Below are 24520 nucleotides of genomic sequence, written 5' to 3'. Positions count from 1 at the left end.
GAGATACACCTTGTAAATAAAGAGAACCCAGACTTCTGAGGGATGAAAAGGATTTGGCAGTAAATAATTCTGAAAGGGATATGTTGGGAGTTGTTAGGAGGTAGGCTCTAACAAGGTCAGCACCCGGGTAACCGTGGGAGTCCATATCAGAGAAGCAATGGATGAGCACTAGAACATCCTTCAAATCATGAGTGAAGTTGAGAAGAAAATTCAAGGTTAACAACCTATAGTACCACTAGAAGACAGTGAAGATGGGGCAGGTCTCAGAGATAGGAAATCAGAACCAAATTCAGGCACTAGGAAAGGCAAGTGAGACAGAATCACATGGCGCCAAAGACTTAATGTTTGTGTCCCCCAAAATTCATACCTTGAAATTGTAATCCCCAATGTGATGGCATTAAGAGGTGGGGCCCGGCCGGGCACAGTGGCTCACACCTGTAATCCCAGCACTTTGGGAGGCCGAAGTGGGCAGATCATGAGGTCAGGAGATCGAGACCATCCTGGCTAACACGGTGAAACCCCGTCTCTACTAAAAATGCAAAAAATTAGCTGCGCGTGGTGGCGGGCGCCCGTAGTCCCAGCTGCTTGGGAGGCTGAGGCGGGAGAATGGCGTGAACCCAGGGGGTGGAGCTTGCAGTGAGCAGAGATGGTGCCGCTGCACTCCAGCCTGGGCGACAGAGCAAGACTCCGTCTCAAAGAAAAAAAAAAAAAAGAGGTGGGGTCCTTGGTAGATGATTAAGTCATAAGGATGGAGCCTCATGAATGGGATTAATGCTTCTATAAAAAGAAGACTCTAGAGAGCCCCCTCGCCCCTTCCACCATGTGAGGAAACAGCTAGAAGATGCCATCTATGGAACAGTAGGCATGTCCTCACTAGACACCAACTCTGCTGGTGCCTTGATCTTGGACTTCCTAGACCCCAGAACTGTGAGAAATAAATTTCTGTCATTCATAAGCCACCAAGTCTATGGTATTCTTTTATAGCAGCCCAAAGGGACTAAGACACATGGACATTGATGAAATTCTACTGGACAGATTTTTCTTGGTTCATGGATACTTATTTCTTCAAAGATACTTTTTAACGGGACATTTTGTCTTATTTTTAAAAATAATATATAGTTATTGTAGGAACATTGGGAAGAAAACAAAAGTAGAAATAAGGGGAAAGATATTGCCCACAATCCAGAGGCAATCACTGTTGTTATTTTGGCATATTTCATTCGTCTTTTTTCTTTGAATATTGACATACTTGAGATGATACTTTTACATCCCAGTTTTTCATTTAACATTATGTTATTAGCATCTTCTCATATTTAAAGATCTATATAAAAATCATTTGTGGCCAGGTGCAGTGATTTGCCCCTGTAATCCCAGCACATAGGGAGGTCAATATGGGAGGAACGTTTGAGCCCAGGAGTTTGAGACCAGCCTGGACAACATAAAAAGACCCCATCTTTAAACAAATATATATTTAAAAATTATTGGGGAGTGGTTGGTCATGCATGCTTGTAGTTCTAGTTAGTTGGAAGGCTGAGGCAGGAGGATGGCTTGAGACCAGGGATTCATGGTTATGGTGAGCTATGATGGTGCCATTGCATGCCAGCCTGAGCAAGAGTGAAATCTTGTCCCTAAAATAAATGAATAAATGGCCAGGCATGGTGGCTCATGCCTGTAATGCCAGCACTTTGGGAGGCTGAGACAGACGGATCACCTGAGGTCAGGAGTTCGATACCACCCTGGCCAATATGATGAAACCCCATCTCTACTAAAAATACAAGTTAGTCACGTGTGGTGGCATGTGCCTGTAATCCCAGCTACTCAGGAGGCTGAGGCAGGAGAATTGCTTGAACCCAGGAGGCAGAGGTTGCAGTGAGCTGAGATCATACCACTTCACTCCAGCCTGGGTGACAGAGCAAGACTCTGTCTCCAAATAAATAAAGTAAAATAAAATAAAATAAAATAAAAAATAAGAACCATTTGTACTGGTTGTATCACATAGCATCATGTATGGATGAACCATAACCTATTTTTTTTTTTTTGAGACGGAGTCTCACCCTGTCACCTAGGCTGGAGTGCAGTGGCACAATCTCTGCTCACTGCAACCTCTGCTTCCCAGGCTCAAGTGATTCTCGTGCCTTAGTCTCTTGAGTAGCTGGGATTACAGATGTGTGCCACCACGTCTGGCTAATTTTTTTTGGATTTTTTTTTTTTTTGGCAGAGACAGGTTTTGCCATGTTGGCCAGGCTGGACCATAATCTATTAATTGTTCTTTTATTATTGTATGTATTTTAAGGTTGCTTCTATTCCTGATTTTTTTATGAAAATCACATCAATGGTATGTAATTGAATATACTTGTGCCAATATTTCTATTTTCTTAAACTCCAAGAAATAGAATCATGAACTACAGGATCTAAACTTTTAAAGCTCCTGATATATCATGTTCGATTGTGTTTGAGAGATAGTGTACCCATTTACCCTCTCTCCAATGTAGCAGACAGCCTGGATTATCATGTCCATACCAACGACATCAGTTAGGATACAGGCTAAACTGCCATAGCAAAAAGATCAGAAAACACAGTTACTCAAGCAAGCTGGACATTTCTTTCTTTTTCACATAAGAATCTAAAGCTAAGAAGCCCCAAGCTGAGGAGGCATTTCTCACTGAAAACATTCTGGGACTGTAGTTCCTTCATCTTCATCTGCCATCCCCTGGGGGACTGTCTCCAACTCTGTGATCAAAGGCCCTCCAGGTCCTCATTTGATTTTATTCTGCAAGAAAGGAGAGGGAAAGGCGGTAGAGAGAAGATGATTTTGTTTGGGGCAAGTGAACTGGATATTAGCCTCTCCAGATCCATGCTCTGTTCTGCTCTGTGCCTTGGAGCTGACCTCTATAGATTTCCTTGTCCTTTGGCTTCCAGTTTAGTTCAGCCAATGGAAGACATCAGTAAGAGATCAGAGGATGGAGTCAAGAGATCAGGGCACCAAGTGCTCTGGCTCACTCCTTGCTGGGAGTTGCCTGTGTCCCTTTACTGAAAGCCATAGCTCCTGGCCAGACACAGTGGCTCACGCCTGTAATCCTAACACTTTGGGAGACCGAGGTGGGTGAATCACCTGAGGTCAGGAGTTCGAGACCAGCCTGGACAACATGGCGAAACCCTGTCTTTACTAAAAACACAAAAATTAGCCAGTTGTGGTGGCAGGCACCTGTAGTCTCAGCTACTCAGGAGGCTGAGGTAAGAGAATCTCTTGAACCCGGTGGGTGGAGGTTGCAGTGAGCCAAGATCGCACCACTTCACTCCAGCCTGGGTGAAAAAGCGAAACTGTCTCAAAAAAAAAAAAAAAAAAAGAAAAGAAAAGAAAAGAAAAAGCCACAGCTCCTGTCGGATGGTCTGCTCCATGTCATCCTCTCTGAGCTTCTATTTGCTCCTTTCTCCAGTCTCTAAGGCCTGGAGAAGGTAAGAGCTCCCCGTTGATGCTCACCCGGGGGTACTGCATCACCTCCTGTTACTTTTCCTAAACCCTCTGCCTGCAGTGACTTCTGACACCAGCGGCTCATAGTCTGGCCAAATTTCGCAAGGGAAAGAGCACAGTCCTCTAGAAGACTCAGACATCAGCTGCAAGTTTGGGGTTTCCTAGACTACCCCCACTTCTAACCAGCTGACTACAAATCCAGGGATCCTCACTACTCCCTCAGGTTCAAACATTCTAGAATAATGTAACTGTGCAAGGGGTTCACCTTCCCCCTGCCTAGACAGAGCTGATTTCTCAAGACATGGGAATTGTAATAGAGAAAGAATAATTCACACAGAGCCGGCTGTGTAGGAAACTGGAGTTTTCTTATTACTCAAATCAGTCTCCCCGGGCATTTGGGGAGCAGAGTTTTTAAGGACAACTTGGTGGGTGGGGGGAAGCCAGTGAGCCAGGAGTGCTGATTGGTCAGGGAGGAAATTACAGAAAGTCAAAGCTGCCTTATTGTGCTGAGTCAGTTCCTGGGTAGGGATCATAAGATCAGATGAGCCAGTTTATTGTTCTGGGTGATGCCAGCTGATCCATCAAGTGCAGGGTCTGAAAAATATCTCAGCACTGACCTTAGGAGCAGTCTAGGGAGGGTGAGAATCTTGTAACCTCCAGCTGCGTGACTCCTAAACCATAATTTCTAATGTTGTGGCTAATGTTAGTCCTACAAAGGCAATCTAGTCCCCAAGCAAGAAGGTCTGCTTTGGGAAAGGGCTGTTAATGTCTTCGTTTTAAACTATAAACTATAAACTGGGTTTCTCTCAAAGATAGTTCAGCCTACACCCAGGAATGAACAAGGACAGTTTGGAGGTTAGAAGCAAGATGGGGTGCCAGGTGCAGTGGCTCACGCCTGTAATCCCAGCACTTTGGGAGGCCAAGGCAGGTGGATCACCTGAGGTCAGGAGTTCAAGATCAGCCTGGACAACATGGTGAAACCCCGTCTGTACTAAAAATACAAAAAATTAGCCAGGCATGGTGGTGCGCGCCTGTAGTCCCAGCTACTCGGGATGCTGAGGCAGGAGAATCTCTTGAACCTGGGAGGCGGAGGTTGCAGTGAGCCGAGATCGCGCCATTGCACTCCAGCCTGGTGCCAAAGAGATTCTGTCTCAAAAAAAGAAAAAAAGAAAAAAGAAAAAAGAAAAAAAAGAAAAAGAAAAAGAAAGAAACAAGATGGAGTTGGTTAAATTAGGTCTCTTTCACTGTCTCAGTCATAATTTTGCAAAGGCAGTTTCAATAACTCATAGAATTCAGGATAGCATGATACATATGATTAGCAAGAAGATACAAACCAGAATCAGCCAAAGAAAAAGATGCATAGGGCAAGGTCTGGAAGGGTCCCAAACATCAAGCTTCCATCATCCTCGGGGAGCCGTTACCCTCCCAGCACATCAATATGCATAGTATGGACAACCAGGGAAGCTCACTTAAATGACAGTGTCCAGACTTTCTATTGGGGCTTTATTTCATAGGCTGATTAAATCATGGCCATGAGGTTGAACTCAACCTTTACTCCCCTAGCTGTCCCCAGAGGTAGGGCTGATATCAGGTGACTCAAAGCCCCAGCCGTCTTATCAAACGGTTGGACTTTCTGGCATTGTCAGTCTCCACCCTGACCCTACCTTGTCTTCTGATTAGCATAAACTTCCTAGGAAGCATTAGTCACCTAAACCATCACGTGTGGCCCATGGGAGCCATCATGAATATCAAAGATACTTTTTTTACTCAGGAAGTTCCAGGGATTTGAAGATTACCTCCCAGGAACCAGGAGCCGAGGCCAGCAAATTCTTTTTGTTTGTTTTGAGAAAGGATCGAGTGAGGTGACTCATGCCTGTAATCCCAGCACTTTGGGAGGCTGAGGCAGGCAGATCACTTGAAGCCAGGAGTTCGAGACCAGCCTGGCCAACATGGTGAAGCCCATCTCTACTAAAAATACAAAAATTTGGCCGGGTGCAGTGGCTCACGCCTGTGATCCCAGCACTTTGGGAGGCCGAGGTGGGCGGATCACAAGGCCAGGAGATCAAGACCATCCTGGCTAACACAGTGAAACGCCGTCTCTACTAAAAATACAAAAAATTAGCCAGGCGTGGTGGCAGGCGCCTGTGGTCCCAGCTACTCGGGAGGCTGAGGCAGGAGAATGGCGTGATCCTGGGAGGCGGAGCTTGCAGTGAGCCGAGATTGCGCCACTGCACTCCAGCCTGGGCGACAGAGCCAGATTCCGTCTCAAAAAAAAAAAAAAAAAAAAAAGAAAGAAAAAAATATATACAAAAATTTGCCCGGCATGGTGGCACATGCCTGTAATCCCAGCTACTCAGGAGGCTGAGGCAGGAGAATCGCTTCAACCCAGGAGGCAGAGGCTGCAGTGAGCCGAGATCGAGCCACTGCACTCCAGCCTGGGTGACAGAGTGAGACTCAGTCTCAAAAAAAAAAAAAAAAAAAAGAAGAGAGAGAGAGGGAGAAAGGTTCTTGCTTTGTCACTCAGGCTGGAGTACAGTGGTGCAATCATGACTCACTGCAGCCTTGACCTCCTGGGCCAACAAATTATTTATTATATACTGTCCACACTGTCTCATGCGTCCGTGTGAAGAGACCACCGAACGGGCTTTGTGTGAGCAACAAGGCTGTTTATTTCACCTGGGTACAGGCGGTCTGAGTCCAAAAAAAGGAGTCAGCAAAGGTGGTGGGATTATCATTAGTTCTTACAGGTTTTGGGATAGGCGGTGGAGTTAGGAGCAATGTTTTGCGGGCAGGGGTTGGATCTCACAAAGTACATTCTCAAGGGTGGGGAGAATTACAAAGAACCTTCTTAAGGGTGGGGGAGATTACAAAGTACATTGATCAGTTAGGGTGGGGCAGAAACAAATCACAATGGTGGAATGTCATCAGTTAAGGCTATTTTCACTTGTTTTGTGGATCTTCAGTTGCTTCAGGCCGTCTGGATGTCTACATGCAGTTCACAGGGGATATGATGGCTTAGCTTGGGCTCAGAGGCCTGACACACACCTTTGTAAATTTTCCTTTTTTTTTAACTCTCCTCAAATTACTCAGTTTGAGGGTACCATCCCTTTCCTGCTGGGACCCCAACTAGCACAAATGAAACTAAAATGAAACACATCAATGTCTCACGTGTCCGTGTGAAGAGACCACCAAACAGGCTTTGTGTGAGCAACAAGGCTATTTATTTCACCTGGGTGCAGGCGGGCTGAGTCCGAAAAGAGAGTCAGCAAAGTGTGGTGGGATTATCATTAGTTCTTACAGGTTTTGGGATAGGCGGTGGAGTTAGGAGCAATGTTTTGTGGGCAGGGGGTGGATCTCACAAAGTACATTCTCAAGGGTGGGGAGAATCACAAAGAACCTTCTAAAGGGTGGGGGAGATTACAAAGTACATTGATCAGTTAGGTTGGGGCAGAAAGAAATCACAATGGCAGAATGTCATCAGTTAAGGCTGTTTTCACTTGTTTTGTGGATCTTCAGTTGCTTCAGGCCATCTGGATGTCTACGTGCAGGTCACAGGGGATATGATGGCTTAGCTTGGGCTCAGAGGCCTGACAATCACTCCCAGCACATTCCATTGATGAGAGCTTAGTCATATGACCATATCTGCTACAGAGTAGTTTAGGAAATACAGTCTGTATCTGAGCATTCTTATGCCACCAAAATTCTGTTACTACGGAAGATAGAATGTATTTTGAGGGAATAAACAGCAGTGTGAACTGGGTGCTGTGGCACATGCCTGTAGTCCCAGCTACTCAGGAGACTGAGGTGGGAGGACTACTTGAGCCCAGAGTCTAACCTGGGCAATATAGCTAGATCCCATCTCTTAAAACAATAATGATGTTAATAGTAATAGCAATCTGTCACATTGTGCTAGGCACTAACATTTTAAAATCATTGCCAGTTTGATAGGCAAAAGACAGTATTTTGACATATCAATTTGCCTTTTTTTTTTTTTTTTGAGACGGAGTCTCACTCTGTCACCCAGGCTGGAGTGCAGTGGCACCATCTTGGCTCACTGCAACCTCCACCTCCCGGGTTCAAGCAATTCTCCGGCCTCAGCCTCCCGAGTAGCTAGGATTACAGGCAGCTGCCACCACGCCCAGCTAATTCCTGTATTTTTAATAGAGTCAGGGTTTCACCATGTTGGCCAAGTTGGTCTCAAACTCCTGACCTCAGAAGATCCACCTTCCTCAGCCTCCCAAAGTGGTGGGATTACAGGCATGAGCCACCGTACCCGGCCTACTTTGCCTTTTTTGCCTACTAGAAATAATTAAACATCCTTTTGTTACTGGAAAGGGGTTCTAATCTAGACCCCAAGAGAAGGTTTTTGAAACTTGCACAAGAAAGAATTTGGGGTCCATAAAGTGAAAGCAAGTTTATTAAGAAAGTAAAGGAAAGGCCGGATGTGGTGGCTCACACCCATAATCCCAGCACTTTGGGAGGCCGAGATGGGCGGATCACCTGGGGTCAGAAGTTCGAGACCAGCCTTGCCAACATGGCGAAACCCCGTCTCTACTAAAAGTGCAAAAATTAGCTGGGCATGGTGGCAAGTGCCTGTAATCCCAGCTACTCTGGAGGCTGAGGCTGGAAAATCGCTTGAATCCAGGAGGTAGAGGTTGCAGTGAGCCGAAATGGTGCCATTGCACTCCAGCCTGGGCGACAAGAGCAAAACTCCGTCTCAAAAAAAAAAAAGGGCCGGACACCGCGTGGCTCACACCTGTAATTCCAGCACTTTGGGAGGCCAAGGCGGGTAGATCACCTGAGGTATGGAGTTCGAGACCAGCCTGGCCAACATGGGGAAACCTCATCTCTACTAAAAATACAAATATCAGCTGGGTGTGGTCACGGGAGCCTGTAATCCCGGCTACTTGGGAGGCTGAGTAACGAGAATCGCTTGAACCCGGGAGGCAGACGTTGTAGTGAGCCGAGAACGCACCATTGCACTCCTGCCTGGGCGACAAGAGTGAGATTCCATCTCAAAAAAAAAAAAAAAAAGAAAGAAAAGAAAGTAAAGGAATAAAAGGATGGCTATTCCATTGGCAGAGCAGCAGCATGGGCTGCTCAACTGTGTATACTTATAGTTATTTCTTGATTATATGCTAAATAAGGGGTGGATTATTCATGAGTTTTCCAGGAAAGGGGCAGGCAATTCACGGAACTGAGTGTTCCTCCCCCTTTTAGACCATATAGGGTAACTTCCTGATGTCGCCTTGGCATCTGTAAACTGTCATGGCATTGGTGGGAATCTCTCTTAGTTTGCTAATGCATTATAATTAGTGTATAATGAGCGGTGAGGACAACCAGAGGTCATTTTCGTTGCCATCTTTGTTTTAGTGGGTTTTGGCCGGCTTCTTTACCACAACCTGTTTTATCAGCAAGCGCTTTATGACCTTGTGCCAGCTAACTAACCTCCTGGGAATGCAGTCCAGGAGGTCTCAACCTTATTTTACCCAGCCCCTATTCAAGATGGAGTCACTCTGGTTTGAATGCCTTTGACATTTTCATTTTTTTCTCTTGGTCATTTGTCTTTATTTTACTGTGATTTTTTTTTTTTCAGGTTTTTGGTTCACTTTTCCATTAGCTTTCTAAAATGTTTTATTGATCCAATGATCTCTTCTAGGTTTAAAGATAACAAGTGTTTTCTGTCAAAGCAACATTAAAAAAAGAAAAAAAAAAGGCCAGGCGCGGTGGTTCACGCCTGTAATCCCAGCACTTTGGGAGGCCGAGGCGGGCGGATGACCTGAGGCCAGGAGTTCAAGACCAGCTTGGCCAACATGACGAAACCTCGTCTCTACTAAAAATACAAAAAATTAGCCGGGTGTGGTGGTGGACGCCTGTAATCTCAGCTACTTGGGAAGCTGAGGCAGGAGAATTGCTTGAACCTGGGAGGCAGAGGCTGCAGTGAGCCGAGATTGCGCCATTACACTCTATCCTGGGCAGCAAGAGAAAAACTCCATCTCAAAAAAAATAAAATAAAATAAATAGAAAAAAAAAAGGCTCATGCCTGTAATCCCAGCACTTTGGGAGGCTGAGGTGGGTGGATCACTTGAGGCCAGGAGTTTGAGACCAGTCTGGGCAACAGAGTGAAAACACATCCCTACAAAAAACACGTAAATTAGCTGGGCATGGTGGCACACACCTGTAAGTCCCAGCTACTTGGGAGGCTGAGGCCGGAGAATGGCGTGGACCCGGGAGGTGGAGCTTGCAGTGAGCCGAGATCCCGCCACTGCACTCCAGCCTGGGCGACAGAGCGAGACTCCGTCTCAAAAACAAAACAAAACAAAACAAAACACATGGCTGAGTGCGGTGGCTCACGCCTGTAATCCCGGCACTTTGGGAGGCCAAGGCAGACAGATCACTTGAGGTCAGGAGTTCGAGACCAGCCTGGCAAACATGGTGAAACCTGGTCTCTACTAAAAATACAAAAAGCAGTTGGGTTTGGTGGCAGGCACCTCTAATCCGAGCTATTCAGGAGACTGAGGCAGGAGAATTGCTTGAACCCAGGAGGTGGAGGTTTTGTTTTGTTTTGTTTTTTGAGATAGTGTCTCCCTCTATCGCCCAGGCTGGAGTGCAATGGTGCGATCTCAGCTCACTGCAACCTCCGCCTCCTGGGTTCAAGCGATTCTACTGCCTCAGCCTCCTGAGTAGCTGGGATTGCAGGCACGCATCACAACGCCGGGCTAATTTTGGTATTTTTAGTAGAGACACGGCTTCACCATGTTGGTCAGGTTGGTCTCAAACTCCTGACCTCGTGATCCTCCAGCCTTGGCCTCCCTAAGTGCTAGGATTACAGGCGTGAGCCACCGTGCCCAGCCTAACCCGAGGGCAGAGGTTGCAGTGAGCCAAGATTGTATCACTGCACTCCAGCCTGGGCGACAAGAGTGAGACTCCATCTCAAAAACAGAAAAACACAAACAACAAAAACAAACAAACAAACAAACTAGTTCAAAAATGAAACACAAAAACTAAAAAAAAAAAAAAGCACTTAAAAAGACCAACTTCCCTGAGCCTCATGTTGTCAGGCCACTCTCCTCTGCCCACTTACTACAGGTGGACTCACAGGTGATGTTCCTCGGTCTCTTTCCTCTAGTTCTAGGTCTCCCCCAGGCAACTTTATGTGCCATCATCTGGGAGCAGTTAAAGTAAGTATACTTCTATGGTCCCTGACAAATGACAAGTCCCCTTTCTCAGGTTCAAATCCTGTGTTCAGGGGGCAGGAGATGGGCACCTCACTGGCAGCCTATTTTCCAAGAACAGATTCTCCTGACCCTAGATGTCTGGTGAGTTTCGGCCCTTTCTGTTGCAATTTGTCAGCTGCCCACTTCTGGAGGATTCTGGTTAGCTTAGTCAGTAGGCTGTGACTTCACTAGATACCACCCTTCATGTCTTAGTTTGAGCTTTCTCCAAAACAGAGCCTGAGACAAGGACTTGGGGACTGGGAGTTTAGTAACACCAGGAAACTGGAGCAAGGGAGAAGGAGGAATGAGCCAGGGGAGGAGCAGTGCCAGGAAAGGGTGTGTTATTGGACTGGGCAAATGAGGGTTGACCTTAGCTGGGGACTCCCCAAGGAACTTTATTTCATTTTTTTGTCTTTTTTTTTTTTCCTTTTTGTGGAGAATGGGGTCTCACTATATTGCCCAGGCAGGTCTCGAACTCCTGGGCTCAAGCCATCCTCCTACTTCTGCCTCCCTACGAGCTGGGATTACAGGCATGGGCCACCGCACCCAGCCCAAGGAACTTTATAGAATGCACTGAGAACTGTGTCTTGCTAGGATCAGAAAACAAGAGCCCAAAATGAAGGCCTCAGAAGCAAAAGTTTTTCTTTTTTTCTTTTTCTTTTTCTCTTTTTTTTTTTTTTTGAGACAGAGTCTTACTTTATCTCCCAGGCTGGTGTGCAGTGGCGCCATCTTGGCGACTCACTACAACCTCCACCTCCTGGGTTCAAGCAATTCTCGTGCCTCAGCCTCCTGAGTTGCTGGGATTACAGATGTCACCACTACGCCTGGTTATTTTTTGTATTTTTAGTAGAGACGGGGTTTCACCATGTTGGCCAGGCTGGTCTTGAGCTCCTGACCTGAGGTGATCCGCCTGCCTTGGCCTCCCAAAGTGCTGGGATTACAGGCCTAAGCCACCGAGGCAAAATTTTTTTCGCTGGCTTTCTCCTGCCCTTCTGTCTCTAAGTCCCATTGTCCCCCAAGGCTAGCCATAGAAACTAGAATCCTTCTTCCCTAAGGTGGTTCCTAGAAACCAGAACCCCTTTTCCCCGAAGCCAACCATAAAACCTTAAAAATATTACTCCAACTTTCCCTCTGCTTTCTATGTAAAAACTGGCCATAAAGAAATTATCTGACTTACTTTGTTTGGCTTGTAGGTCATAAGATCCCCATTCCAGAGGAGGTCCTGTCCCATACTCAGAAGGAAGGAGCGCTGTTCAGAAAGGGCAAGAAGAATCTAGACAGACAGGCCCTGCTGGCTTTCCCCACTCCATCTGTTAGCATTAGATCATTCCCTTTTTGTCCACTCGTATTTCCACATGACTGTCCATACTTGGTTGAATTTAAACTTAAAAATGGACAATTTCCCCTGTAGACTTGGGTCTTCATTCTGAAGCCTCCATGTACCTGTGAATAATATTTGTGTGCCTTTTCTCCAATTAATCTGACTTTCTGAATTGATTTTTCAGTGAACCTTCAAGGCGGGAAGGGGAAATCTTCCCTTGGTCTCCACGGTCTCTAAAGGACGGCTGACAGAGAGAGACATTTGTCCACTGGTTCCCCAACAACCTCCCAACACCTTTGTTGGCTGAAAGTTGACCCCAAGACAGTCAACTCTCCGGACTTTCCAGCTGCCTTGGAAAAACCCTAAATGTCCGCCCCAGCTGCAGTCGAAATTAGAGGTGGGTTAAGCAGATCTGGTGTGTGCCAGAAATAGCATTGGTTGCATTGTGTTTTTTTAAATATGTAAATACCTCAACCACATACTAACAAAAACATACATGTTGTATTTTGGGTAGATTCATGCCCAAAGCAGTCTGGGACCTCAGAAATACGGTGTGTGGGGAAGGAAGGACTAGAAGCTGGCCCACACGGGAAGAAGTCTCCAGGGGGCAAGAGTGTGTCAGACTCAGATGGGGGTGGGACACAGAGTGTGAGGAAATGGAGTGACTTGGCAGGCAGCGGCCCTGGCTGCGAGGCAGCTGAGGATGCTGACCTAGCTTTAAAGTGCTGGGCAGGCTGACCTGAAGGGGAGACAGCGGTGTTCCCAACCCAGGGGGATCAGGGAAGGGGAGGGCGATGGGCCCCATGAGAACAAGGCGTCCACAAACATACAAAAAATATACACAAGGATGTTCATCTTAGTGGTAACTATTCTAGCGATTCAGAACTGTAAGCTGGGCAATTGTAAGGCACTGGTTACAAATCACGGTGTGACCATTAAAAAGAGTCATTTGCAGGAATTACAGAGGGCATATGGAACTGCACTGGGTGAAATCCAGGCTGTGGGAAATTCTACCGTCAAGTGGCATTGACCAGTGATCCCCTACAGGCTGCCTTTTTTTTTTTTTTGAGACTGTTTCTCACTCTGTTGCCCAGGTTGGAGTGCAATGGCGTGATCTCAGCTCACTGCAACTTCTGCCTCCCGGGTTCAAGCAATTCTCCTGCCTCAGTCTCTTGAGTAGCTGGAATTACAGGCTCCCGCCATCACGCCTGGCTAATTTTTGTATTTTTAGTAGAGATGGGGTTTTACCATTTTGACCAGGCTGGTCTTGAACTCCTGACCTCAGGTGATCCACCCGCCTCGGCCTCCCAAAGTGTTGGGATTACAGGAGTGAGCCACCATGCCTGGCTACAGGCTGCTTTTAAGGAAAAGAACAAGATGGAGGGAGAAACTGTAGACTAAAACAATATAAAAGACACCCCAATTTTTAAAAATGGCCAGAACTAAACTATAGTGTCTAAGTATGTCCACTTGATTGATAAAGCTACAAAGAAATGCCAGGAAGCAATTGCCACAGATGTCAGGATAGTGGGTTATTTTTTGCGGAGTGAGTGGGGAGCCTTGGTGACTAGGCAGGAAACAGGGAAGTCTTCAGGAGGCTGTGGAAGTTCTCAATCTTGAACCAGGTAGTGGTTACAAGGGTGTTTGTTTATTACAGTTCATAAAGCTATACATTTATTTTAGGAGATGAAATAAAAATAGGGAAAGATGTTATAGAAGCATGTTAAATAACATGAAAAATGCTTGCCCATGTCATTATGGGAAAAGGCAGATTGAAAATCATTAAGTATACTATGATGCCACTTTGTGGGTGGATGGATGGATGGATGGATGGATGGATGGATGAACAGACAGACAGGTAGGTAGGTAGATGGATGGATGGATGGATGGATGGATGGATAGTCAGGAAGGTAGGTAGATAAATGGATAGATGAATGGATGAATGGATGAATGGACGGATAGATGGATGGATGGGTAGATGGATGGACAGATAGCCAGGTAGGTAGGTAGGTAGATGGATGGATGAATGGATGATCAAAAGGATGGATGGATAGATGATAAATAGATATAGAGATAGATAGATAGATACAGACAGACAGATAGAAATAGAGAAAGATGATAGATAGATAGATAGATAGATAGATAGATAGATAGATAGATAGATAGATAGATGTAAAAAATAATTATGGAGGAAAATACACCAAGGTGTTACTAGTAATGTTTGGAAGTAGGCTTTTTCTGACTTTTGTTTTCTTTTACCATTCTGTGCCATGTGAATCTTGCACAGTGAATATTTTTGTTTCTCATGAATCACTTAAATAAATGTTACTTTTATTTATTTTAATCTTTAAAAAATGGCATTTGGGGCTGGGCACGGCAGCTCACACCTGTAATCCCAGCACTTTGGGAGGCCAAGGGGGTGGATCACCTGAGGCTAGGAATTTGAGACCAGCCTGGCCAACATGGTGAAACCCATCTCTACGAAAAATACAAAATTAGCCAGGCATTGTGGCACATGCCTGCAATCCGAGCTACTCTATCTGTCCATCTGTCCTGGAGGCTGAGGCAGGAGGATTGCAAGCTCCGTCAAGAGGTTGCAGTGAGCCAAGATCGCCCCACTGTGCTCCAGCCTGGGCGACAGAGTGAGACTCAGTGTCAAAGAAAAAAGAAAAGAAAGAAAGAAAGGAAGGAAGGAAGGAAGGAAAGAAGGAAGGAAGGAAGGAAGGAAAAAAGAAAAGAAAGAAAAAGACACTTGGAGCACTCGGAAGAAAGCAGCAGGTGCACGGCCTTCTTCACTCTTATAGCCATTCTTCCCTAACACACTGAAAAGGCTTTCACACCCCCTAATAATCCCAGAATTATGAACTAAGAGTAGACCCCTCATTTTTAAAAGGTCTGGCTTTTTTGGTAGTGGTATTAATATTGATTCAGGAGAGAACATTGAAATAAATCACGCATGGAAAATACCATGGTACTCTAAGCGTTCCCCTCCCTGGCAGGGTCCAAGGCGAATTCAGCACGGGTTGATGCCAGAATCCAGCAGGCGCCTGGGAATATCCCTGAGGCTGGATCGAGAACCTGGCTGGGTGTGGTGAGACTGCGTCCACCCTTTGACTCTGCCAGGCACACAGGACTCCTTGGGGACTCTGGTCAGAGGAGGCCTTTGCTGGTCAGAGTAGGGGAGGAAGTGGGTGGGTTTCTTCCCTGGCTGAGAAGAGATAGAGATGGGGTGGGGGGGGGAGGGGGGGCGTTGCCTCAGGAGCCACAGCCTTATCACCCCCAGGGCAGCCCACCTGCCTGCCCTGCACCTACCTGCTCATCCTCTGAGGCCCCCGGGCTGAGTGAACAGCATTGCCAGCCCAGGACCCCAGGCCAGAGTTGGGACACATCCTTGACTTGTCCCTCCCCTCTCTTTCTCAGCATCCCATCCATGCCACTCCCATCTCTCAGGGTCTCCCATTTGTCTCCATCCCAAGCTGCTTGTTGTTGTTGTTGTTTGTTTGTTTTTGAGACAGGGTCTCGCTCTGTCACCCAGGCTGGAGTGCAGTGCAGTGATCTCGGCTCATTGAATCCTCTGCCTCCTGGGCTCAAGTGATCCTCCTGTCTTAGCCTCCTGAGTAGCTGGGACCACAGCATGAGCCACCATATCTGGCTAAATTTTTTTTTTTTTTTTGACGGAGTCTCACGTTGTCACCCAGGCTAGAATGCAGTGGCGTGATCTCGGCTCACTGCAAGCTCCGCCTCCCGGGTTCACACCATTCTCCTGCCTCAGCTTCCTGAGTAGCTGGGACTACAGGCACCTGCCACCACGCCCGGCTAATTTTTTGTATTTTTAGTAGACACGGGGTTTCACCATGTTGGCCAGGATGGGCTCAATCTCCTGGACTCGTGATCTGCCCACCTCGGCCTCCCAAAGTGCTAGGATTATAAGCGTGAGCCACCTCACCCGGCCTTTGATTTTTTTTTTTTTTTTTTTTTTGTAGAGATGGGGTCCCACTGTGTTGCCCAGGCTGGTCTCGAACTCCTGGCCTCAGGCAATCCTCCAGCCTCAGCCTCCCAAAGTGCTGAGATTACAGGCATGAACCACTGCACCCAGCCTCCAAGCTACTTTTCCTGTCTAGCTTTCAGCCCTCCGGCCGATGCTGACTGCTGTGGCTGCTCCACAATGGACAATGCATGCCCCCTAGGGATCCTGACAGAATGCATGCTCACCGCCTCCAGGCACAGTGCTGAGCACTTTGCCCATATCAACGCCTTTCATTCTCACAACCACATGAGGTGGATGCTATTAGGACCCCATTTTCCAGAGGAAGACCTTAAGGACCAGGGCTCACCTGTCAATTGCCGGATGTCACAGTGACATTAGTGATGAAGACAGGACTCAAACACAGGCAGCCTGGATCCAGAGCCCAAAGGCTCCACCCCAGGCTTGGAGACAGAAAATGAGAGATCTGGAATCAGACAGATCTCTCACAGCAGCCGTCTGCGAGCTGCATGGCCTTAGGAAATTCACCCCATCTCTCGCTCTCTTCTTTTTTTTTGAGACTGAGTCTCACTCTGTCCCCTAGGCTGGAGTGCAGTGGTGTGATCTCGGCTCACTGCAACCTCTGTCACTCTGGTCCCAGCGATTCTCGTGCCTCAGCCTTTCCAGTAGCTGGGATTACAGTTGTGTGCCTCCATGCCTGGCTAATTTTTGTATTTTTAGTGGAGATGGGGTTTTACCATGTTGGCCAGGCTGGGCTCGAACTCCTAACCTCAAGTGATCCACCTACCTTGGCCTCCCAAAGTGCTGGGATTACAGGCGCGCACCACCATGCTTGGCCTCACTCCATCTCTTGAGTCTCAGTTTCTTCATCTGCATGGTGTGGGTGCTGATCTTGTCTCGGCCTGTGGAGAAGGGAAGAGGAAACTATGCACATAAAGGGCTTCCATCCTGCTTGGCACAGCATGGTACTCAGTGAATGTGAGCTACTATCTCATCGCTGACTGACCCTTCCGCCTCCATCTCCACTCCCATGTACCACCCAGCAGGCTGAGTCATCTTCCTAAAATCCCTTAATTATTCCCTGATAAAAACCTTCCACATCTCTCCAAGGCGCCTCATTGCTTTCAAGATAAAATGCTCTCTCTTGACCCCGGGATTCCGAGCCTTCCTGACATGACCAGCTCATTCCCCACCCTCTCCTTTCATGCCTTACCCCCTCCCCTCCTGCTCCTGGTCCTCACTTGCCTTTCTCTGATGAGCCAGGCCCCTCAACACCCTTGTCTCTGCACATGCTGTTCCCATGCCCCGGGAAGAAATCCTCTACCATGCCCAGTAGGCTATCTCCAGCTCATACCTCCTCAAGTTCAAGGTCACCACCTTTGTGGCTTCTCTTCTCTCCCCGCAGGCGGATCAGCCAACGCGCTCCCCTCCACTCCTGCCTTGTAATGTCTTTACTATTCTTCTTGCCATGTCAGCTGGAGTTGGGGTTTCTATGTCCCCTATTAGAATATAAGCTTCTTGGCCAGGCGTGGTGGCTCACACCTGTAATCCCAGCACTTTGCAGGGCCGAGGCAGGTGGATCACTTGAGGCCAGGAGTTCGAGACCAGCCTGGCCAACATGGTGAAACCCATCTCTACTAAAAATACAAAAATTAGGCCAGGCACGGTGGTGCATGCTTGTAATCCCAGCTACTTGGGAGGCTGAGGTAGGAGAATTGCTTGAACCCGGGAGGTGGAGGTTGCAATGAGCTGAGATCACACCACTGCACTCCAGCCTGGGCAACAGAACAAGACTCTGTCTCAAAAAAAAAAAAAAAAAAAAAAAAGAGAATATAAGCTCTTTGAGGATGAGACCATATGGAAATGAGGCTGGAAGTCCCAAGTAGCTCTAATCCCAGAGTCCCTAGATGCTCTCTAGCATTTCTGTTTGCCTGGAATGCCTGGGGACAGAAAAGCACATGCTCAGGGAGGAAGCTGTGATACCGAGGTTGGGAATGTCCTTCATTGGAAGACACCTCTGAGCAGCATCCATCTAGCTCACAAGGCCCCTTACTCTCAAAACTGCTTTCCCACCCAGATGCAAACTATCTCCCCTGGACACAGCTGATGAGACTATAGCTGGTAGCCCCAAATGACCTGGTCTCAGCATAGAATCACAAAAACACAAAACCCAGCCATTACACAGTAATTTTAAAAGAGTCTCAGGGCAGGTGTGGTGGCTTATGCCCGTAATCTCAGCACTTTGGTAGGCCAAGGCGGGTGGATCACTTGAGGTCAGGGATTTGAGACCAGCCTGGCCAACATGGTGAAACCCTGTCTCCACTAAAAACAAAAAACAAAAAACAAAAAAAATTATCTGGGCATGACAGAGCGTGCCTGGAATCCCAGCTACTCGGGAGGCTGAGATAGGGGAATTGCTTGAACCCAGGGGCGGAGGTTGCAGTGAGCCGAGATCACACCACTGCACTCCAGCCTGGGCGACAGACTGAAACTCTGTCTCAAACAAAACAAAACAAAACAAAACAAAACTGAACTGAACTGAACTAAACTAAACTAAACTAAACTAAACTAAACTAAACTAAACTAAACTAAACTAAACTAAACTCAGCCTTTACTTGAATTTCAAGATCGTTAACAAGGGTCCAGGTTAGAACTCACCACAGTACCTTCCCCCGCTCCCCTCTGCTTCCCCATCTCTCACCCCACACTTGGACTTGGGCCTCTAGAGCCAGGCGGCCACTCCAGAATCTTGATCTGGGCTTTGGGGGTGGGGATTCACACACGGAATCCCCACGTTCCCCGTTTCCCTTATTGTTTTTCTCTTCCTTCTTCTTCCTTTATCTCAGTTCTTCATCGCATTGATCTTAGCCTCTCTCCTCTTGCCCTCCCCTTCCCTCCCTCTCTGGGCTCCTGCCTCTCTATGCCTTTCTTCCAGTTCATCCTAACTCAGGAGGTGGGAGCCCGGGTGGCAAAGGGCGGATGGAGTGGGGGGCGGGGTAGGGAATGTACATGACATTGGCACAAGAATAAATATGGCGCCCAACCTGCACATAGGGGACTGGTCCAGGAGCACCCAGCACTGCCTTCTATTACTCTTATTCCTAAGCCTCACATACAATTTGCATATCATTATCATATTTATCCTCAGCTCTTGCAGCAATCCTGTGTCACCTACATAGACTCCAGCATGCAGAATGACCCCAGAGGTGCGTGTACACACGAGCACATGCACCCAGGCACACGTGTCCACATGGACAGCGTCCGGCAGCACACAGGCGTGAGCCCCATGAGAAAAGCTTCACTAGTGCAGACAAGGGAAAGGAGCACCGCCCTGCAGCTCCCCAATGTGGTCCTCCATGACCCCTGGCCTCCCCTACCCTCCTGCACCACAGCCTGCCCCTGCTGGAGCCCCTTCACCCTCTCCCTCCCGTATATTTTTTCTTTGTGCCCTTTCCTGAACTCAGCTCTGCCACCAGGCTCTGCAGGAACCTTATTTTTACAGCTTCAGGGAGGAAACTCTCGGAGAGAAGGGATGGCTTTGCTAAGAGGGTAGGTGCGTAATGCCCTGAGCCACTGCCAGCCCAGTTCCCAAGGGGCAAGGTTTCCCCGCCTCAGCTGTGATGGTGGCTCTAGTCAGCCAGGACCAGCCCGGGGACTGCCCGAGGGACCTTCCTGGCAAGCTGGCTCAGTGCCACTGCCCAGTCTCCCCTCACGGACGGGAACACCCTGGGCAGGCTCTGGGCTCTGAACCCAGAAAGGTCCACAGACCAGCACCCAGGGGGAGGGATTCTGCATCAGCGATGGGGGCAGATCCCGAAATTCTCCTTGTTTGACATCTCCCTTTAGGGCAGGCAGCTCCAGGGCTTTGTTCATCTGTAAGGATCAGAGGACTTGCAGGGTGGGCTATGGGACCAAGGGGTCTACCCAGGAGGCTGGAGGGAGAGGGACTAGTCCTGGAGCTCTTGGCACCAGAGAGAGGGAGGGAGAGGGAAGACGTGGGGCTTGGGAAACAAAGGAGAGAAGCAGAGCATGTCTTATGATGGTTGAGTTGCCTGTCAGGTGCAGAGGCCAGGGAAGATCACCTCCTAGACCCACGTTCATCTTGCCCTCTTTTTTTTTTTTTTTTTTTTTTTTGAGACAGGGTCTCACTCTGTCTCCCAGGCTGGAGTGCAGTGGCATGATCTCAACGCTCTGCAACCTCTGCCTCCCGGGTTCAAGCGATTCTCCTCCATCGGCCTCCCCAGTAGCTGGGATTACAGGTGCGTGCCACCATGCCCGGCTAATTTTTTCTATTTGTAATAGAGATGGGGTTTCACCATGTTGGCCAGGCTGGTCTCAAACTCCTGACCTCAAGTGATCTGCCTGCTTCGGCCTCCTAAAGTGCTGGGATTACAGGCTTGAGCCACTGCGCCTGGCCCATCTTGCCCTGTTGTTCCTTCCTCCATCATCTCTCACCTATAAACTTGCCAAGAGAGCCAAAGGGTTCCTCCAACGCTTCCCACTAACTTCCATCCACTCAATGCTCTTCCTGGCTGTCTGACATCTGGCTGGAAAGACCCAATGTGACATCAGATGCTCCCCCTCCGGGGTCCCTTTCTTGCTCCCTCACCTCACAGCCTCCTGGGCCCCTGGGCCTCTGCCAAGAGTTGTTGACAAGATTGGGCACCTTGGAGTCCTTGTCTGTGCCAGGAGTGTCTCCTGGGAAAGCCAGGGGGCACCTTTTCTGGCACAGGGCCTGGGGAGCGGCCTCCGAGGGCTCCCCCAACACACCCACCCTCTTTCTGCTGCAGAGCAGGAATGTTGATTTCAGTGCAAATAACTCATTATTTTGCTTCCCAGACCAGAAAGCCCCACATGTGGAGTTAATTCCCCATTCTGACTTAAGGCTAGTGCCAGTCAGAACTGGGAGTTTTGCTTAATACCCACTAGGCACCATTGTTTCCATCACAGGGTTAATTAGTCCCCAAGAGCCTTGAGCCGAGGGAGGCTGCTCTGGGTGGAGAGTCCAGAGACCCAGATTTTGAATCTGCATTTGCCAACGACCATCTGCTTGAGCTTCACTAGACAAGGCCCTTTCTCTCTCCGGACCTCAGTTTTCCCATCTGCAAAATGAGCAGGTGAACCTGGATGATCACCAAAGTCCTTTCCGGCTGTCTCAAAGTTTCCGTGACATTCTGTGGTGCTGACATTCTGTAACACCCGACAACGGTCTAGCATGATGATGTTCTAAGTCATTCCATGACATTTACAGCTATCTGCAGCACTGTCTGATGACGTTGTCTTCGGAAGGTGGTCCTTGACATTCCATGACATTTACAATGATCTGCAGCATTCTATGACATCCGTTGACATTTACAAGAATTCAGAATACCCCGTGACATTCTTTGACATTCCAGAGCATTTTACGACATTCCTGGACATTCTATAGCACTCTGTGGCATTCTAGTCATGATATTCTGTGGCATTCTGTGACATTCTAAGTTTATACTATGTAGATTCATCTCTCTTCCAAGGGTCCTCCCTGGCATCACTGGAGAAGTCACATTCCCACCCAAGGACTTTTCACCCTAAAGCTCCTCCTGCCCATGCTGTGTGACCCCTCTGTGGTCAGAAGTTCTTGAACTTGGGCCTCTAGAGTCAGGCAGCCACTCCAGGATCTTGATCTGGGCTTTGGGGGTGGGGTGGAGGGAATAGCAGTCTCCCCAGGGTGTTTTGCACCTAAAGAAATAGGTTTTCCCCTCCCCCACTGCCACCAGAGTATTCTAGTAAATGGCTCTTACCTTCAGGATAAGGGTTTCCCTTGGCATAGTGTTGAGTTTAAGCATACCAGATATTTGAAAAATTTCGACCTACAGGAACAGCAATTTTATTTTATTTTATTTTTTACTTTTTTTTGAGATGGAGTCTCACTCTGTCACCCAGGCTGGAGTGCAGTGGGGTGGTCTCAGCTCACTGCAGCCTCCCCCTCCCCAGGTTCAAGCGATTCTCCTGCCTCAGCCTCCCAAGTAGCTGGGATTACAGGCACGTGCCACCACGCCTGGCTAATTTTTAGTAGAGCCAGGGTTTCACCATGTTGGCCAGGCTGGTCTTGAACTCCTGACCTCAAGTGATCCACCTGCCTTGGTCTCCCAAAGTGCTGGGATTACAGGCTTGAGCCACCATGCCTGGCCATGGGAACAGCAATTTTATGCAGTTCAACCTAATACAGCAGAAAGAATGTGGGAATTTCTTTCTGCTGTATTAGGTTGAACCATATACAATTTGGGAATCAGATGGCCCTGGGGCAAATACTGGTACTGTTATTTGTTAGCTGTGAAACTTGGGGCAACCTCACCCGGCCTCACTTTCCTCATCCATCAATGGAGATAATCATGGGTTGTTTTTCAAGGGTTTGTAGAGGACTCAGGGAAATGCCGAGGGTGAAGAGGAACGCCTAGGGTCTGGAACAGAATAAGAAGGCTCAGGATCTTTCTTCCTCCTTTTTCCCTTTTCCCTTCCCTTTTTCCCCTTCTCTTCCCTCCTTTTTCCCCATTCTCCCTTTCCCTAGAACAACAGTGAAACAATCCATGAGCAAAATGGCGCCAGCTGAAAAAGAGAGCCTGGGCATGGGTCTTGGCTGCTTCCTCCTTGCTGTTCAGCCTGGAGGATGCAGTTCTGTTCTGTGGGCCTCAGTGTTCCCATCTGTAGAATGGGCTGGAAGACCATGAGATCAACTAGGAAGACCCTTCCGGCTCTGATGGTCTGGGCTTCCCCAGCTGGGGGAACAGAAGGATGACAGAACAAGGAATCTTGAAGTCTGGTCGGGCAAGAATTGGGGAGCAAGGGGGTCACCATAGATAGTCTTTGAGGACAGGGCACTAGAAAGTGGCTTAAAGTCAGTGGAGGAGGCGAGACCTGAAGAAGTGCTTCTTTCTAAGCTTTGAGGGATGATGACTTGGTTGTAATGCTGCTGCTCCATAGAGTTTTAGAACGACCCCGTAGATCTCCGCTAACGAGGGTGGGCAGGTGCCCCACCGGGTGGGCCGCATCCTCTCCAGCCCTCCAGGCCCCCGCGGGAAGGACCCAGGCTGCTGTGGAAACCTTAAGAGACTGCGCCCCCTGGTGTCAGAACGCTGTCATTGCAGCATGGGACTTCCAGCCTGGGGAGGCAGCTTCTCACCTGCAGACGAGGGCTCCACCCTAGCCAGCAAGTTTCTTTCCAAGAGGAGGCTGGGGAGCAGCGCTTGGGAAGAAAGTGGCTTAAGTTGGGTCAAGCCTGTAGGGCTGAAGGCTGGTAAGGACCCTTCATTAACCTCTTGAGCAAATATTTATTGAGAACCTACTATGTGCCCGGCAGTGCGTTGGGCCCTTGGATCCAGCTTTGAACAAGACAAAGCCCTTGCTTGGCAAGGAGCCCACACAATCCAGGGCTCTCGGACTGGCTGAGGACCTGCTATGTGCCCAGGTCTTATCCCCCAGACTCTTCAAAGCAACTGTGGAGGCGAGAATTATCATCTCCATTTTATTTATTTATATTATTTTATTTTTTGAGACTGAGTCTCACTCTATTGCCCAGGCTGGAGAGCAGTGGTGCGATCTTGGCTCACTGCAACCTCTCTCTCCCAGGTTCAAGCAATTCTCCTGCCTTAGCCTCCTGAGTAGCTGGGATTACAGGTGCGCGCCACCATGCCCAGATAATTTTCGTATTTTTAGTAGAGACGGGGTTTCACCATGTTACCCAGGCTGATCTCAAACTCCTGACCTCAGTTGATCCGCCCACCTCGGCCTCCCAAAGTGCTGGGATTACAGGTGTGAGCCACCGTGACTGGCCTCATCTCCATTTTACAGGTGGGGGAACTGAGGCCTGAGGCCACACAAGTGTAAGGGGCAGAGCTGGGATCTGGACCATCAGACTTGGATCTGGGCCATCCAGAGTATCCCATCACACAAGGTTCATGTAGCAGAAATCACCTGCCCCTCCAAGCAAGTCACTTGCCTCCTCTGGGACACGGAGCCAGTGAGGTGCCTGGAGGATTACACAAGGTAGGGGGTGTCCTGATGCCCTTGCCCTGTGTCCAGGGAGACCTCCTTCCAAAGAGTGGGGGTTGCTCTCTGGAAGTGGGCATCCTGGGGCTCCGGGCATTGTTCTCATTGTCTGGCCCTCCTCTTTGTCTCTGGAGTATCCTGGGCTCGCTTCTCCCCCGGCAGAGCCAAGGGCCAGCTGCCTGGAGAGCAGGACCTGCCGGCCGCAGGCTCATTAGAGCCCTCGCAGACGCCCCTCTACCGGGACTCCCCACCCAGGGTCTGAGGGGGAGTTTGACACGAGTCTAAAAATAGCTGCTGTTTTGTTCCTTTGTTGGAGGGGAGGGGCTGGCAGAGGGATTCGGGCTCCTCTTAATGACCGACCCACCAAGAACAAAGGCTTTTCTTTGCGTTGGCTCTGCTTCCAGCAGCAGCAGGCCCCCGGCTCCAGTATCATCCTTGGGGCTCAAGTGGAACCCAAGCTGCTCCTGAAGAGCCAGCTTGAGGGCAAAGGCAGGCCCAGG

The 24520-nt window shown here is 48.5% G+C and overlaps 7 annotated features.

Moving 5' to 3' along the window:
• Positions 4901–5474: an enhancer, noted in NCBI's record as "NANOG-H3K27ac-H3K4me1 hESC enhancer chr9:126906899-126907472 (GRCh37/hg19 assembly coordinates)". NCBI's record gives its function as "activates a minimal SCP1, AML or CMV promoter by ChIP-STARR-seq in naive and primed H9 embryonic stem cells {active_cell/tissue: H9 hESC(naive and primed)}" and the evidence as "EXISTENCE:reporter gene assay evidence [ECO:0000049][PMID:30033119]".
• Positions 5475–6050: an enhancer, noted in NCBI's record as "H3K27ac-H3K4me1 hESC enhancer chr9:126906323-126906898 (GRCh37/hg19 assembly coordinates)". NCBI's record gives its function as "activates a minimal SCP1, AML or CMV promoter by ChIP-STARR-seq in primed H9 embryonic stem cells {active_cell/tissue: H9 hESC(primed)}" and the evidence as "EXISTENCE:reporter gene assay evidence [ECO:0000049][PMID:30033119]".
• Positions 6051–6624: an enhancer, noted in NCBI's record as "H3K27ac-H3K4me1 hESC enhancer chr9:126905749-126906322 (GRCh37/hg19 assembly coordinates)". NCBI's record gives its function as "activates a minimal SCP1, AML or CMV promoter by ChIP-STARR-seq in naive H9 embryonic stem cells {active_cell/tissue: H9 hESC(naive)}" and the evidence as "EXISTENCE:reporter gene assay evidence [ECO:0000049][PMID:30033119]".
• Positions 7010–7304: a silencer, noted in NCBI's record as "tiled region #10969; K562 Repressive non-DNase unmatched - State 8:EnhW". NCBI's record gives its function as "represses a minimal TATA promoter and a strong SV40 promoter by Sharpr-MPRA in K562 cells {active_cell/tissue: K562}" and the evidence as "EXISTENCE:reporter gene assay evidence [ECO:0000049][PMID:27701403]".
• Positions 12113–12162: an enhancer, noted in NCBI's record as "active region_28959". NCBI's record gives its function as "activates an Ori minimal core promoter by ATAC-STARR-seq in GM12878 lymphoblastoid cells {active_cell/tissue: GM12878}" and the evidence as "EXISTENCE:reporter gene assay evidence [ECO:0000049][PMID:35858748]".
• Positions 12253–12482: an enhancer, noted in NCBI's record as "active region_28958". NCBI's record gives its function as "activates an Ori minimal core promoter by ATAC-STARR-seq in GM12878 lymphoblastoid cells {active_cell/tissue: GM12878}" and the evidence as "EXISTENCE:reporter gene assay evidence [ECO:0000049][PMID:35858748]".
• Positions 18302–18514: a silencer, noted in NCBI's record as "fragment chr9:126893859-126894071 (GRCh37/hg19 assembly coordinates)". NCBI's record gives its function as "represses an EF-1alpha promoter that drives an FKBP-Casp9 reporter gene in an ReSE screen in K562 erythroleukemia cells {active_cell/tissue: K562}" and the evidence as "EXISTENCE:reporter gene assay evidence [ECO:0000049][PMID:32094911]".

This window comes from Homo sapiens, chromosome 9 (genome assembly GCF_000001405.40).
Source record: "Homo sapiens chromosome 9, GRCh38.p14 Primary Assembly".
Lineage (NCBI taxonomy): Eukaryota > Metazoa > Chordata > Mammalia > Primates > Hominidae > Homo > Homo sapiens.
Note: the sequence above shows the minus strand (reverse complement) of the source record. Positions and strands in the feature narration are given on the sequence as shown.